A 16745-nucleotide genomic window follows, 5' to 3' on the forward strand; every position below is an offset into this window, starting at 1 on the left:
GTCCCTGTACAGTGTAAAGTAAAGAATGTAAAGTCGAGTCCCTGTGGTAATTAGACCTCGTCCACAGTCCCTGTACCGTGTAAAGAATGTAAAGTCGAGTCCCTGTGGTAATTAGACCTTCTCCACAGTCCCTGGACAGGGTGAAGTAAAGAAAATGTAAAGTCGAATCCCTGTGGTAAGTAAACAATGTCAGGTTCTGGCTGGGTGTGGTGGTTCACGCCTGTAATCCCAGCACTTTGGGAGGCCAAGGCAGGTGGATCACGAGGTCAGGAGATCAAGACCACCCTAGCTAACACAGTGAAACCCCATCTCTACTAAAAAATACCAAAAAAAAAAAAAAATTAGCTGGGCATGGTGGCAGTGTGCCTGTAGTCCCAGCTACTCGGGAGGCTGAGGCAGGAGAATGGCATGAACCCGGGAGGCAGAGCTTGCAGCGAGCCGAGATCGTGCCACTGCACTCCAGCCTGGGCAATGGAGCAAGACTCAGTTTAAAAAAAAAAAAAAAAAAAAGAATGTCACTTTCTGACCAGCCCGGGGACACCAAGATTATCTTGGAACTTCAAGAGGAGAGGAATTCACCCGACTCATAGGTATTTGATGGTACCAGTCCATGGCTGGGCTCGACTTTTTAAAAAGTCTTATCTGAGATTCCATCTATGGAACAAAGTTCCATCAAAGCCAATTTAAAAGCCTATGTAAAAATATAATTATTCTTGCCACACTGTATACAAAGAATCAGGCCAAGTATAATAGAGCAAATCAATCCCACCATGATTTGTCTTTAGTAAAAATGGGAAACTGGCCAGGCACGGTGGCTCACACCTGTAATCCCAGCACTTTGGGAGGCTGAGGTGGGCAGATCACGAGGTCAGGAGATCGAGACCACAGTGAAACCCCGTCTCTACTAAAAATACAAAAAAATTAGCTGGGCGCGGTGGCGGGCGCCTGTAGTCCCAGCTATTCGGGAGGCTGAGGCAGGAGAATGGTGTGAACTCGGGAGGTGGAGCTTGCAGTGAGCCGAGATGGCGCCACTGCACTCCAGCCTGGGTGACAGAGCGAGACTCTGTCTCAAAAAAAAAAAAGGAAACTGGAGAGAGAAAAAATTATGTTTCAAAACCTATAGTACACCTGTTGTTAGATTCTAGTCTTGCCTAATGTTTTTCAATTTTTATTATTTTCTACAGTTTGGACAGAATTCTAATTTTTCTTGCCTACAAGTCTTCAAAATAATGTTTTCAATTTTTTTCTTCTTTTTTCCCCCTTCTTCTTTCTCTTTTTTTTTTTTTTTTTTTAGATAGAGTCTCACTCTGTCACCAGGCTGGAGTGCAGTGGCACGATCTTGGCTCACTGCAACCTCGCTTCCCAAGTTCAAGCGATTCCCCTGCCTCAGCCTCCCAAGTAGCTGGGACTACAGGCGCCTGCCACATGCCTGGCTGATTTTTGTTGTATTTTTAGTAGAGACGGGGTTTCACCATGTTGGCCAGGATGGTATCAATCTCTTGACCTTGTGATCCACTCACCTTGGCCTCCCAAAGTGCTGAGATTACAGGCGTGAGCCACTGAGCCTGGCCTCCCCCATTTTTCTTAATTTGAAGTCACTGAAAACTAAGCTATGCTTTCTTAAAGCACTGCGAACCGAAGCTAGACAGCTTAAACTTCAGAAGAAAATAACACCAACCTATTTACATACATAAGCCACTTTCATACCTGCCTACTGATGTATGGACTTCAGAGTAATGTGGCCTATATTGATCTTCCAGGATTGTTCTTTTGTTTGTTATTGTTTTTCTCCCTTCCTTCCCCTATTTTCTCTTCATAGGACATGAGAGACTTCACAACCTGTTAAAAATGAGCTTTTGTAATAACTCGAGACCTACCTATCTAGGAATAAGCCATCCTAACCCTCACCTGCGGCCAGAGACTCATTTTCTTATGAAACACTTTCTCTGGAAGATTTTAAAAAAGAAAAAGAGGAAATGTGAAAGGAAAATAAATCCTGGGGCCCCAGAATCACTAAACTAAAGGGAAGAGTCAAGCTGGGAACTGCTTAGGGCAAACCTGCCTCCCATTGCATCCAAAGTCACCCCTCTGCTCAGTGAGATCAATGCATATCTGACTGCCTCCTTTGGAGAGGCTAGTTAGAAACTCAAAAGAATGCAACCATTTGTCTCTTCTCTACCTATAACCTGGAAGCCCCCTCCCCGCTTCCAGTTGTCCTGCCCTTGCTTTGAGTTGTCCCACCTTTCTGGACCCAACCAATGTTCATCTTACATATGTTGACTGATGTCTCATGTCCGCCTAAAATGTATACAATGAAACTGTGCTCTGAACACCTTGGGCACATGTCATCAGGACCTCCTGAGGCCATGTCACAAGCACGTGTCAACCTTGGCAAAATAAACTTTCTAAATTAACTGAGACCTGTCTCAGATATTCAGGGTTCACAAGCTGCTGCTCCTCAGCTCCTGGATGGCCTGAGTTAGGCAAGTTCCCACGGATGCTTTCTCACCTGCAAGTGTATTACAATAGTACTGTTATTGGAAAGGGGTCCCGATCCAGACCCCAAGAGAGGGTTCTTGGATTTCGCGCAAGAAAGAATTTGAGGCAAATCCATAGCGTAAAGCAAAAGCGAGTTTATGAAGAAAGTAAAGGAGTAAAGGAAGGGCTACTCCATAGACAGCAGCCCTGAGGGCTGCCAGCTGCCCATTTTTATGGTTATTTCTTGATGATATGCTAAACGAGGGGTGGATTGTTCATGCCTCCCTTTTTAGACCATACAGCCTAACTTCCGGACATTGCTATGGCATCTGTAAACTGTCGTGGAGCTGGTGGGAGTGCAGCCGTGAGGATGGCCAGAGGCCACTCTCATTGCCATCTTGGTTTTGGTGGATTTTGGCCGGCTTCTTTGGGGCAAGCTGTTTTATCAGCAAGGTCTTTCTGACCTGTATTCTTGTGTCATCTCCTGTCTCATCTTTTGACTTAGAATGCCTTGTCATCTGGGAATGCAGCCCAGTAGGTCTCAGCCTTGTTTTACCCAGCCCCTATTCACGATGGGGTTGCTGTGGTTCTAATGCCTCTGACAGTACCCACCTCACTGTGTTGGTGGGAGGTGTAACGGCATCAACATGAGCAAGATGCTCAGCGAGGGTTGCATGTGGCACACTGGTATTATGATTACTGTCATTCTGCAGCGATGGGTGGTACTGGGTCAGGCCACGAGAACCTCCAGACACGGAGGGTCTGCCAGAGAAGGGGGCATTTAGCTGAGACCTGAGGCCTGATAGGGATTATTTGGGTGAGGAGGCTATAAGCCTGCTGAAGACAACTTTTCAGGTGAGTTACGACCAAGGGTCAGGCTTTGTTACAGACTCACGTGCAAGGTGAAGGCCCTGAGAGACCCCTTCGAAGATTCACTCAGGGAAGGAACAAGAACTACCATTGGCCTCGACACAGAAACACCCTGTGGTTACAGGTCACTTGACCTGTGAGTGACAGTTATCCGCTGGGTGGGTGCCCAAAAGCAAGCCCAACAGTTCACAAAATTACCATTTTATCAGGAATGTTAATTTCTCTCTCTCTCTCTCTTTCTAAATTTTATTTTTGCTGGACACAGTGGCTCACGCATGGAATCCCAGTACTTTGGGAGGCTGAGATGGGCGGATCACTTGAGGTTGGGAGTTCAAGATCAGCCTGACCAACATGGAGAAACCCTGTCTCTACGAAAAATACAAAATTAGCAGGATGTGGTGGCGCATGCCTGTAATCCCAGCTACTCGGGAGGCTGCGGGAGGCAAGTCAAGTGAAACTCTGTCTCAAAAAACATATATATATTTTATTTTTTTGAGAAAGAGTCTCACTCTGTAACTCAGGCTGGAGTGCAGTGGTGTGATCACAGCTTGCTGCAACCTCCACCTCCTGGGTTCAAGCGATTCTCCTGCCTCAGCTGCCCGAGTAGCAGGGACTACAGGCATGTGCCACCACGTCCAGCTAATTTTTACATTTTTAGTAGAGACGGGGTCTCACCATGTTGGCCAGGCTGGTCTCAAACTCCTGTCCTCAAGTGATCCACCTGCTGTGGCCTCCCAAAGTGCTGGAATTACAGGTGTGAGCCACTGCACCCAGCTTTCCTTTTTTTTGAGACAGGGTCTTGCTGTGTTGCCCAGGCTGGAGTGCAATGGCACAGTCTCAGCTCACTGCAGCCTCGACTTCATGGGCTCAGGAGATCCTCCAACGTCAGCCTCCCAGATAGCTGGGACTGCACAGGTGTGGGCCACCAAGCTCGGTTAATTTTTTGTATTTTTCGTAGAGATGGGCTTTCACCATGTTGGCCAGGGTGATCTTGAACTCCTGGACTCAAGCCATCTGCCTGCCTCGGCCTCCCAAGGTGCTGGACTACAGGCTTGAGCCACCTTGCCCAGCCCAGAAATGTCAGTTTCTTCTCAGAAGGAAGTTCTGCACTGATCATGTTCTTTTCCAGTGGTTTCTTTTCTTTCTTTCTTTTTTTTCTTTTTTCTTTTTTTTGAGATGGAGTCTCACTCTGTTGCCCAGGCAGGAGTGCAGTGGTGCGATCTCAGCTCAGCACAACCTCCGCCTCCTGGGTTCAAGTGATTCTCCTGCCTCAGCCTCCCGAGTAGCTGGGATTACAGACATGTGCCACCACGCCCGGCTAATTTTTGTATTTTTAGTGGAGATGGGGTTTCGCCACGTTGGTCAGGCTGGTCTCGAACTCCTGACCTCTTGATCTGCCCACCTCAGCCTCTCAAAGTGCTGGGATTACAGGCGTGAGCCACCGTACCCGGCTTCTCCGGTGCTTTCAAGGAACTAGGCGGAGCTTGGAAGGAAGCTCTTCTAAAGCAGATCTACGCCCTGAAGTGGCTGCAGAGAGCCGCCTCCAGAACTGGTGTCTGTGGCAGCCAAGACCTCCCCAGTGCAAAGCCCATGGAAGATCTGGCCGTGATGAGAGGAGAGGCAGCCATCGTTGCACAGGTCCAAGAGCTCAAGGAATGCAAGGTTGTGGGGTGAACGCATGAGTAGGTCAAAGTCCAGTCTTTCAGGGCAGGGCAAGGGTAACTTTAACCCAGGAAGAGGCAACAGACACCAAACTAATTGCACCATTTTGTAAATCTCATTCAGCCAAGTCCAGAGGAATGGATATTGGAGGAAAATGATCCTAAATCCGGTGGAACGGAGGCAATCACCACGGGTCCTGGATTGGAGGGGCTGGTGGGTTGTCTGGGAGGGGACTGCTTGTGCTCTGGTTCTTAAAACCAACGCCATGCAGCCCAGGGGAAGGAAGGTAACATACTAGAAAATCCTCGGTTTATTGGGGAAAAGGCATCCAAAGCCTGAAGGAGACAAGAATGGATCGTGCTTCACCTGCTCTGCTGTCCCCTAACTGTCCTGTGAGATGGCCTGTGGGACAACCCTCAACAAGACCTTAAGAGGCATACTGTGAAGTGGGGAGGGGAGTGACAACACCCTTAGCAAACTCTCAGAAGGCTGCTGGGGACGAAGGGGACAATGCTGCCAGGAAACCAAGTGAGGAGATTCTGGGGCGGCTGAGGCCACATGGCCGGCCGGGCAGGCGAGGTCACCGTGCTGGGCAAGCAGAGTGGTGTGGCCTCACAGACGTTGGACTCATTTGCCAAGGAGTTGCCCTCCAGGACAAAAGCAGAGGGCAGAACGGGGTGAAGGGGCAGCAGTGGTGGAAAAATCCTGAGTCAGGCCTGGGCTTGGTTGCAGGGCAGGGGGGTGGAAGTTCCTCTTGCAATTCCTGGATGTGAGTCATTCCCAGACCCTCTGCTAGAGGGACACATCTGACGGAAACACCCAAGGCTGTGGATGGCTTCCCCCAGGCTCCCCTGAAGGGAGGCAAAGCCCTTGGCAGGATGGCTGTGCCCTGGAGGAAGGGACGCCCAGGCTCTCAGGGATTGCTGGGCACTGGGTCTGAGCTGATGCCACTTCCCAGACGCTATGATGTCTCCACAGTCCCTTGGTCAGAGGAGGGCTTTGGAAGTCAAGTGAGACATGCTTTTGGGCCACAGTCCATCGCACAATGGACACCGTGGGGGGGTGTGAATCCATCTTGTGTTAATTTCCCCAGTTGTCTTTTTTCTTTCCTGAGACAGAGTCTCGCTCTGTCACCCAGACGGGAATGCAGTGACACAGACACGACTCACTGCAGCCTCGACCTTGACCTCAAGCGATCCTCCCACCTCAGTCTCCTGAGTAGCTGGGACTACAGGCACGAACCACACCCAGCTAATTTTTAAATTTTTTATAGAGCCCGTGTCGCTCAGGCTCGTCTCATACTCCTGAGCTCAAGCACTCTGCCGACCTTAGCCTCCCAAAGTGCTGGGATTACAGGTGTGAGCCACTGTGCCCGGCCACCTCCCCAGTTCTCAAATATATTATTTGAGTAGAAGTTCTGAGCAGCTGGCCAGCATGCACATGCTCTGCCGACTCGGAGAAGGGCTCTCAAGGTGGGAAGCCCAAGGCGGGCTCCTGGAGCTCCCCTCCTTTATCAGCTGAGGAAACACCAACTACTCTGCCACGTAAAACTCAAAATCTCAGTGGCTTAATATAAAGATGTTTCTTTCTTTTTTTGAGATAGGGTCACACTCTTATCACCTAGGCTGGAGTGCAGTGGCAAAATCACAGTTCACTGCACCCTCTACCTCCCGGGCTCAAGCATTCCTCCCACTTCAGCCTCCCGAGTAGCTGGGACTACAGGCACTCACCACTATGCCTGGCTAATTTTTGTATTTCTGGTAGAGATGGGAGTCTCTTTGTTGTCCGAGCTGGTCTTGAACTCCTGGCCTCAAGCAATCCTCCTCGGCCTTCCAAAGTTCTGGGATCACAGGCTTGAACCGCCATGCCTGAGCCGAACCACTGCTATTTTTGATGTGGATTTAAGGGCCTCGTGGAAGTCCATAGCCAGCCAGCAGGAGGGTGAAGAGAACGTGTGCAGGTTGGGGCAGGGTGTTTTTATGCACCAGGCTTAGGAGTGGTACACATCATTTCTACCCAAATCAATTCCAGAACTCAGTGACATGACCTAGTTGTGAAGGGGACTGGGAAATAGATGCCTTGGCTGAGAAGTGTGTTCTATCTTGAGCCAGTAGTTAGGACATCAGCTTTCCAACTCCTCAGTTTGTCAACTATGGCAGAGCCACCTCCAGGGGCACCCACCGTACGGTGTTATTTCTGGGAGGTGTATTTCTAGAAGCTTGTGCTAGACACTTCCCAATGATTCTGTAGGCACCACCTCCCTGTATTAAATCCCTTTTCCACTCAAAGTGGCCACACATGGGTCTGTAATCTGTACCTGAACTGTGGCTGTTACAGTCAGTGAGACATTGAGGAACTGCAAGCCATGGTGTGAGGGGTCACTTGGAGGGGTGTGGATGATGTCAGCACTCGGAGTGAGCAGGCAACCCATGACCCAGATGCCAGAACCCTCAGTGAATGACAGGATGTGCGTGGCCAAGACTGCTGTATCCCCAGTGCCTCAACTTCGGGGTGTGTGCGTGTGAGATAAATGTTCCTTCTGTTCATTTGTGCTTTCATTGATTATCTATCCAGCATGCAATCATTTAGCATTTATGTGTGCTCAGTGCTGTGGCTGAATAAGAAAAGCAGATTTCCAACAATATAATCTAAAACCCATCTATTGCGATAGATGCTGATTAAAATATAACAGGCATTCTTTTGTTTCTTTTTTTTTTTGAGATGGAGTCTCGCATGTCGCCCGAGCTGGAGTGCGGTGGCATGATCTCGGCTCGTTACAACCTCCGCCTCCTGGGTTCAAGCGATTCTCCTGCCTCAGCTTCCCGAGTAGCTGGAATCACAGGTGCCTGCCACCATGTCCGGCTATTTTTTTTTTTTTTTTGGTATTTTTAGTAGAGATGGGGTTTCACTGTGTTGGCCAGGCTGGTCTTGAACTCCTGACCTTGTGATCTGCCTGCCTGAGCCTCCCAAAGTGCTGGGATTACAGGCGTGAGCCACTGCACCTGGTCATAAGCATTCTCTCTCTTATTTTTTTGAGATGGAGTTTCGCACTTGTTGCCCAGGCTGGAATGCAATGGCGTGATCTTGGCTCACTGCAACCTCTGCCTCCCTGGTTCAAGCAATTCTCCTGCCTCAGCCTCCCGAGTGGCTGGGATTACAGGCACCCGCCACCACGCCCGGCTAATTTTTTGTATTTTTAGTAGAGACAGGTTTTCACCATGTTGACCAGGCTAGTCTCGAACTCCTGACCTCATGATCCGCCCAACTCGGCCTCCCAAAGTGCTGGGATTACAGGCGTGAGCCACTGCGCCCAGCCCAGCATTCTTTTATATACATAGCTGAGCTTGAAAATAAAACAAAGCCTATCCCAAGAGACACAAAATGGAGAGGAAAGTGAAACCAACAGGGTAAATAAGTATGAAATCTGGGGCTTCTCAATACTAGGAACTTAAAGCCTCAGGTTTTAAGGCTGCGTAGGAGGCAAAAGACAGAGACTTGGGCCCATGCAATATAAGAAGATGCTCAGATAAAATCAGGACTTTTGAAGACCCACAGTCTCAGTAAGAGGCTAGAAAAACTAGGAAAGAAATCTGCTTTCCAGGAAGGAGAAATTAATTAATTTTTTTTTTTTTTTTTGAGATGGAGTTTCTCTCTTGTCGCCCAGACTGGAGTGCGATGGCGTGATCTGGGCTCACTGCAACCTCCGCCTCCCAGGTTCAAGCAATTCTCCTGCCTCAGCCTCCCAAGTAGCTGGGATTACAGGCATGTGCCACCACACCCAGCTATTTTTTTCTATTTTTAGTAGAGACGGGGTTTCTCCATGCTGGTTGGGCTGGTTTCAAAGTCCCGACCTCAGGTGATCCACCCGCCTCAGCCTCCCAAAGTGCTGGGATTACAGGCGTGAGCCACCGCGCCCAGCTGAATTTTTTTTTTTTTTTTTTTTTTTAAGACGGAGTCTCCCGCTATTGCCCAGGCTGGAGTGCAGTGGTAGGATCTTGGCTTACTGCAACCTCTGCCTCCCAGGTTCAAGTGATTCTTGTGCTGCAGCCTCCTGAGTAGCTGGGACTAAGGCGTGCACCACCCTGCCTGGCTAATTTTTGTTATTTTTAGTAGAGATAGGGTTTCACCATGTTGGTCAGGCTAGTCTTGAACTCTTGGCCTCAAGCGATCTGGCTGCCTTAGCCTCCCAAAGTGCTGGGATTACAGGCGTAAGCCACCACACCCAGCTGAGAAATGAAATATTTTGTAACGACCTCACCACTAGATAGAAATCAGTGACAATTTACAGCCAGGCACAGTGGCTCACGCCTGTAATCCCAGCACTGTGGGAAGCCAAGGTGGGCGGATCATGAGATAGTTAGGAGATGGAGACCATCCTGGCTAACACGGTGAAACCCCATCTCTACTAAAAATACAAAAAATTAGCCAGGTGTGGTGGCGGGTGCCTGTAGTCCTAGCTACTTGGGAGGCTGAGGCAGGAGAATGGTGTGAACCTGGGAGGCGGCGGTTGCAGTGAGCCGAGATGGCGCCACTGCACTCCAGCCTGGGGGACAAAGCGAGACTCCGTCTCAAAAAAAAAAAAAAAAAAAAAGAAAAGAAATCAGTGACAATTTATAGGTATAAACTTGCCTCCAAATGGGCATGGGGTTTAAATACAAAATATCTTGGTGGTTTGGAATTGAGTTGAAGTGGTTGCAGGTTGGCTGCACTAAAGCACTTGGCAGGAGCAAATGTAAATCACCTCTGAGGGAGAGCACTTTCAACTTAACTCCTCCAGGTTCCCACAGACTAAGATTGGTCAAACATGACATCACATCTAAAAATCACAAAACATGTAAGTATGCTCAAAATGGTCACAGAGATAAAAGATGCAACTGAAAACATGAATAAGGAATGAGGAAACTATCAGAAAGAATAGGAACCAAAGAACATGGTAGATTTGAAAAGGAACAATATATGCCTTTTAAAATGAGAAAAATAATTGAAGTTTATTTTTTTCTCTTCCTTTTCTGGAAATATTTTTTTCATCAATCTCATTCTTAAATGAATGAGAACTATAATTCTGAGTTAATGGTTATTCTTAACTCTCTTTCTTGACCTTCACTGTTGTTGTCAGTCTAATTATTCCTTTGGGAGATATTTATCTTTTCTTTTGACTGTTTTTTTTAAATTAACAAATGAAAATTATATATATTTACCATGTGCAACATATTGAGCTAATCAATATATGCATTACCCCACATCATTTTTTATGGTGAGAACACTTAAAATATACTTTCTTAACAGTTTTCAAGTACACTATACATTGTTATTAACTATAGCCAACATGTTGTACAGTAGAGCTCTTGAACTTATTCCTTCTTTTTTTTTGTTTTGTTTTGTTTTTTTGAGATGGAGTCTCGCTCTGTTGCCCAGGCTGGAGTGCAGTGGCGCAATCTCGGCTCGCTGCAATCTCTGCCTCCCAGGTTCACGCCATTCTCCCGCCTCAGCCTCCCAAGTAGCTGGGGCTACAGGCGCCCGCCACTACGCCCAGCTAATTTCTTGTGTTTTTAATAGAGACGGGGTTTCACCATGTTAGCCAGGATGGTCTTGATCTCCTGACTGTGATCTGCCCGCCTTGGCCTCCCAAAGTGCTGTGATTACAGGCGTGAGCCACCATGCCAGGCGGAACTTATTCTTTCTAATTAAAATTTTGAATTCCCTGACCAACATCTCCCCCACAACCTCCTTGCTCCTGATAACCACCATTCCACCCCATTTCTGAGTTCTTTTTATGTTCCACACATATGTGAGATTATGCTGCGTTTGTCTTTCTGTGCCTGGCTTATTTCACTTAACATAATCTCCTCCAAGTTCATCCATGTTGTCAAAAATAGGAGACTAACCCGAGTGGATTGCTTGAATTCAGGAGTTTGAAACCAGCCTGGGCAACATGGTGAGACCTTGTCTCTAAAATAAAAAAAAAACTTGGATTACATTATTAAATAGATTTTTAATCCCAGCTACTCAGGAGGCTGAGGCAGGAGAATTGCTTGAACCCGGGAGGTGGAGGTTGCAGTGAGCCGAGATCGCGCCACTGCACTCCAGCCTGGGTGACAGTGTGAAACTCTGCCTCAAAAAAAAAAAAAAAAGCTACTAGAACTAAGCAATTTAACAAGGTCACAGACTACAAAGTTTATATGCAAAAGATAGTTGTGTGATAGGTTGAGGTGGGTGGATCCCTTGAGCTCAGGAGTTCGAGACCAGCCTGGGCAACATGGCGAAAACCTGTGTATTTTGTGTTTCTCTACTAAAAATACAAACATTAGCTGGGCATGGTGGTGTGTGCCTGTAGTCCTAGCTACTCAGGAGACTGAGGTGGGAGGATAGCTTGAGCCTGGGAAGTTAAGGCTGCAGTGAGCCAAGATCATGCCACTGCACTCCATCCTGGGAAACAGAGTGAGACCCTGTCTCAAAAAAAAAAAAAAAAAAAAAAAAAAGAGGTGATTTTCTATACTATCAACAATTAGAAAATGAGGCTGGGCACGGTGGCTCATGCCTGTAATCCCAGCATTTTGGGAGGCCGAGGCAGGTGGATCACCTGTCAAGAGTTCACGACCAGCCTGGCCAACATGGTGAAACCCTGTCTCTACTAAAAATACAAAAAATTAACCGGTGTGGTGGCGGATGCCTGTAATCCCAGCTACTCGAGAGGCTGAGGCAGAAGAATCACTTGAACCCGGGGGGCAGAGGTTGCAGTGAGCCAAGATCATGCCATTGTACTCTAGCCTGGGCAACAAGAGTGAAACTCCATCTCAAAAAAAAAAATTAGAAAATGAAATTAAAATTATATTAAAATTTTTATTTGTAATACATGAAATAACACAAAATTTTTAGGAATGGATTTAGCAAAAATGTGTAAGAATGCTACACTGAAAGCTACTAAACATTGCTGAGATAAATTAAAGAGGACCAAAATATGTGGGAGGCTGAGGCAGGAGGATTGCTTGAAGCCAGGAGTTTGAGACCAGCCTTGGCAATAAAGCAAGACCCTGCCCCTACAAAATAAATAAACAAATAAATACATGAGGAAATATACTATGTTCATATAATAGAAAACTCAATATTATTAAGATGTCTATTCTCTCAATATATTTACAAATTCAGTGCAATACCAGTCAAATTCCCAGCAGGCTTTCTTGGGGAGTTAGAAATTGACAAGTTGATCCTAAAATTTATATAGAAATAAAAATGACCTAGAATAACCAACAAATTAAAAAAGAACAAAGTTACAGGACTTATCTGCTTTCAAGACTTACTATAAAGTTACAGAAATTAAACAGTATGGAATTGAAGAAAGTTATAAATATAGATCAAAGGAAAAGAATAGAGACAGAGTCCAGAAATAGACCCACACATATGTGGACAACTGATTTTCAACAAAAGTGCAAAGGCAATTCAGTGGAAAAGGAAGTCTTTTTAAAAATGGTGCTGAGAGGTCCCTAGAATAGTCAAATACATGGAGACAGAAAGCAGAACTGTGGTTCTAAGAGCTGGGTGGAAAGGAGACTGGAGGACTTATTGTTCAGTGAGTATAGTTTAATACGGGGTGATGAAAATGTCCTGGAGATGGTGGCGAATTCACTTAATGCCACAAAATTGTATACTTAAAAATTGTTAAAATGGTAAATTTTGTTATGTATATTTTACCACAATAAAAACTAAATTTAAAAATCTTAAAAATGGTTCTGAAACAACTGGACATGCTCCCCCCAAAAAAATATGAACAGCTACCTTTTCTTGATACCAAAAACAAAAATTAACTTGAAATTAATGACAGGCCTAAATGTAAATGCTAAAACTACACAGCCTGGGCAACATGGTGAGACCCCCATCTCTTTTTTTTTGAGACGAATTCTCGCTCTGTAGCCCAGGCTGGAGCGCAGTGGCGTGATCTCGGCTCACTGCAACCTCTGCCTCCTGGGTTCAAGTAATCCTCCTGCTGTAACGCAGGCGTGCGCCAACGTGCCCACCTAATTTTTGTATTTTTAGTGGAGACGGGATTTTGCCATGTTAGCCAGGCTGGTCTCCAACTCCTGACCGCAGGTGATCCATGCGCCTTGGCCTCCCAGGAATTACAGGTATGAGCCACCACGCCTGGCCCCCCATCTCTTAAAAAAAAGAAATAAAATAAAACTATAAAACACAGGAAAATATTTTTGTGATCTTGTGGTAGGCAAAGATTTTTTAGAGTGAACCCAAAGAATATGAGAACGATTAAACAAAAAAGATAAATTGAATTCTATAATAATGCAAGACTTTTGTTCTTTGAAAGAGGCTATTACAAAAATGAAACGGCAAGCCAAGAAATTAGAGAACTTTTGCAATACATATATCTTATAAAAACTTGTATCCAGGGCCAGGCGCGGTGGCTCACGCCTGTAATCCCAGCACTTTGGGAGGCCGAGGCGGGCGGATCACGAGGTCAGGAGATCACGACCATCCTGGCTAACACGGCGAAACCCCATCTCTACTAAAAATACAAAAAAATTATCTGGGTGTGGTGGTGGGCCACTGTAGTCCCAACTACTCGGGAGGCTGAGGCAGGAGAATGGCGGGAACTCGTGAGGTGGAGCTTGCAGTGACCTGAGGTCGCGCCACTGCACTCCAGCCCGGGCGACAGGGGGAGACTCCGTCTCAAAACAACAACAACAACAAAAAACTTGTATCCAGATTATATAAGGAGCTCCTAAATTTTAATAACTCAAACCACTCAGTTTTTAAAAATGGCAATAGACTAGAACAGACACTTCACGAAAGAAGCTATGTGAATGGCCAATAAGCCATTCCCCAGCAGCCCGGACGTCCTTCTTGTGGTATGGCCGACTCTCTGGCTTTTGTTGGCTTCTTCATCTCTGATCCCATCTGCGTCATTCCAGTCATAACCCATTTGATGGTTCTAACATGAGGATGGATTTATTATTTAAAAATATACATAGTTCTAGGGCCAGGTGTGGTGACTCATGCCTGTAATCCCAGCAATTTGGGAGGCCGAGGTGGGTGGATCACTTGAGGCCAGGAGTTCGAGACCAGCCTGGCCAATATGGTGAAACCCCATCTCTACTAAAACTACAAAAATTAGCCAGGCATGGTGGTGCATACCTATAGTCCCAGCTACTAGGGAGGCTGAAGTATGATAATTGCTTGAACCTGGGAGGCAGAGGTGGCAGTGAGCCGAGATTGTGCCATTGCACTCCAGCCTGGGCGACAGAATGAAACTCTGTATCAAAAAAAAAAAAAATATATATATATATATATAAAATTTTTAAATCTTTAATTTTATAAGACTAGTCAAGCGCAGCACTGATAAGGGGAAATCAGTAGAACAGGGAATTCATTCTTTTTGTCTCTCCTGTGCTGTACCCTTAAACACGGTTATGATGGTGAACTGCATGTTATGTGCTTTTCACTACAATAAAAATAGGTACATAGATCTTAAATTGTCAGTGGCCTTTGAGAGAGTGGAGAGGTAAACACAGGCAAAACACATCGTCTTGAATGAAAAGATACTCGGAACCCTAAATGTGAAATTAACTAGACAAATATTTCTCACTTTTAATTTCACGTTTTTTTTTCCTTTGAGACAGGGTCTCGCTCTGTCTCCCAGGCTGGAGTGCAGTGGTGTGATCTCGGCTCACTGCAGCCTTGACCACCCAGGCTCAGGCGATCCTCCTGCCTCAGCCTCCCAAGTAGCCGGGACCACAGGCACGCGCCACCACGTCTGGCAAATGTCCGTAATTTTGTAGAGACGGGGCCTCACTTTGTTGCTCAGGTTGTTCTTAAACTTCTGAGCTCAAGTGATCTGCTCACCTTGGCTTCCCAAAGTGCTGGGATTACAGGTGTGAACCACCTTGGCCGGCTAATTCCACATTTCAATGTTAAAACAGTATTTTAAATTTAACACTCTTTCTAAGAATATACAACAAAGATCAGCCATCCCTTTACGCTGCTGTTTTGCTGCTAGATATGGAGAACACACTCATCAGAATACACTCCAAAATCTGAACTAGCTTTGATGATGATAAAATTTAGAGTGTTTACCAGGTACTAGGCATGTGCTAAGCATTTTACACACACGTACCTCATCTAGTCCACACAATGGCCCAGGAGGCTGAGAACTGACCTGTGAGCCTCTGAAGGCAGACACCTTGCATCTCAACCAGGCCTGCCATCTGGCCAGAATGAATGAGGAAATGAAACAGTTTGTACTATAGTCCCCAGCTTAGCTGAGCACACACGGAGACATAGGAAGGCTAGGAAGCTTTCCTAGGCCACCTGGGTATTTGGTGGCTGAGCTGGGCATTTGCTCCAAGTCCAGCTCTTGAACTTCTCTGGGAAATGTATTGTTCCTTGAAACCAAACTGCAGAAGTGCTATCAGATTTCAGGGACTAAAATTAGAAACTCAAACCCCTTCAGAACCTTCCCTGTCTCCCAATCTCTATTTCTTCCAGTGTGACTTTCTTCTCGAGCCTGCTTAGCTTTGGATGTAAGGTGCGTTCAGGATGGTAGGCCCCAGATGCCGGCCGTAGTGTGGTAGTGTGGCTTTCTTCTCAAGGCTACCACTCGGTCACCAGCAGCTCCTGAGTTCACAGTTCTCCTATAGATCCCAAGAGTGGAACCAGTCTCCTCATTTTTTTTTTTTTTTTTTTTGAGACGGAGTCTCGCTCTGTTGCCCAGGCTGGAGTGCAGTGGCGCGATCTCGGCTCACTGCAACCCCTGCCTCCCAGGTTCACGCCATTCTCCTGCCTCAGCCTCCCAAGCAGCTGGGACTACAGGCATCCACCACCACGCCCAGCTACGTTTTTGTATTTTCAGTAGAGACGGGGATTCACCGTGTTAACCAGGATGGTCTCGATCTCCTGACCTCGTGATCCACCGGCCTCGGCCTCCCAGAGTGCTGGGATTACAGGCGTGGGCCACCGTGCCTGGCCATTCTCCTCATTTTAAGACACGTACTATCTCAGAACAGGATTCACACTGGCCCCGCTTGGGTAACATGACTACCAGCTTCTCTACTGACTGGCCATAGTGACCCCGGACAAGTTAAGTTACCGCTTGTTAAATGAGGACAGTAACAGTGGTTCCCTGAGTGACTTTGTGATGATCGAATGAGCTAATATGTGTAATACACTTAGAATGGCATGTATGTGCTCATAAACCTTAGGGAACAATCCATTTTCATAATTCTCACTGCACATTTCTTTTTCATTTAAACATTTTTCATAAATCTTTGTGGTGGTTCCAAGCAAAAAAAGTTTTTCTGTGAAACTGTCACTATTGCCAGCTTTGGAGTTTGAATTATATGACCCTTTGTGGTCCTGGCCACAAAGCCAAGGCATTGACATAAAAGAAGTGCTGGGCTAGTGGTACAAGGGACATATCCAGGTTATTCAGGTTCTTACATAGATCCAGGCTCAACATGAGCTCATAACTCCTGGTCATAAAATTCTCACAGAAACAATCCACCAAGTGTAAGAATCAGTCCACGCCACGAAAAGCAGAATCAGACCATCAAAAAGTTCACATAATGAAACTATTGACTAGAAACTTAAAAATAAATATTTCTGAAATGATTAAAAACAAAGAAGAGGCTTGGCGCAGTGGCTCATGCCTGTAATCCCAGCACTTTGGGAGGCTGAGGCAGGTGGATTGCTTGAGTGTCAGGAGTTCGAGACCAGCCTGGGCAACATGGGGA

General features: G+C 46.4%; 1 annotated feature.

The window, feature by feature from the left end:
* Positions 5202 to 6401: an enhancer, noted in NCBI's record as "CDK7 strongly-dependent group 2 enhancer chr22:51094338-51095537 (GRCh37/hg19 assembly coordinates)". NCBI's record gives its function as "activates an origin of replication core promoter dependent on BRD2, BRD4, P300/CBP, MED14 and CDK7 cofactors, with strong dependence on CDK7, by STARR-seq in HCT116 cells {active_cell/tissue: HCT116}" and the evidence as "EXISTENCE:reporter gene assay evidence [ECO:0000049][PMID:35650434]".

This window comes from Homo sapiens, chromosome 22, assembly GCF_000001405.40.
Source record: "Homo sapiens chromosome 22, GRCh38.p14 Primary Assembly".
Taxonomy (NCBI): domain Eukaryota; kingdom Metazoa; phylum Chordata; class Mammalia; order Primates; family Hominidae; genus Homo; species Homo sapiens.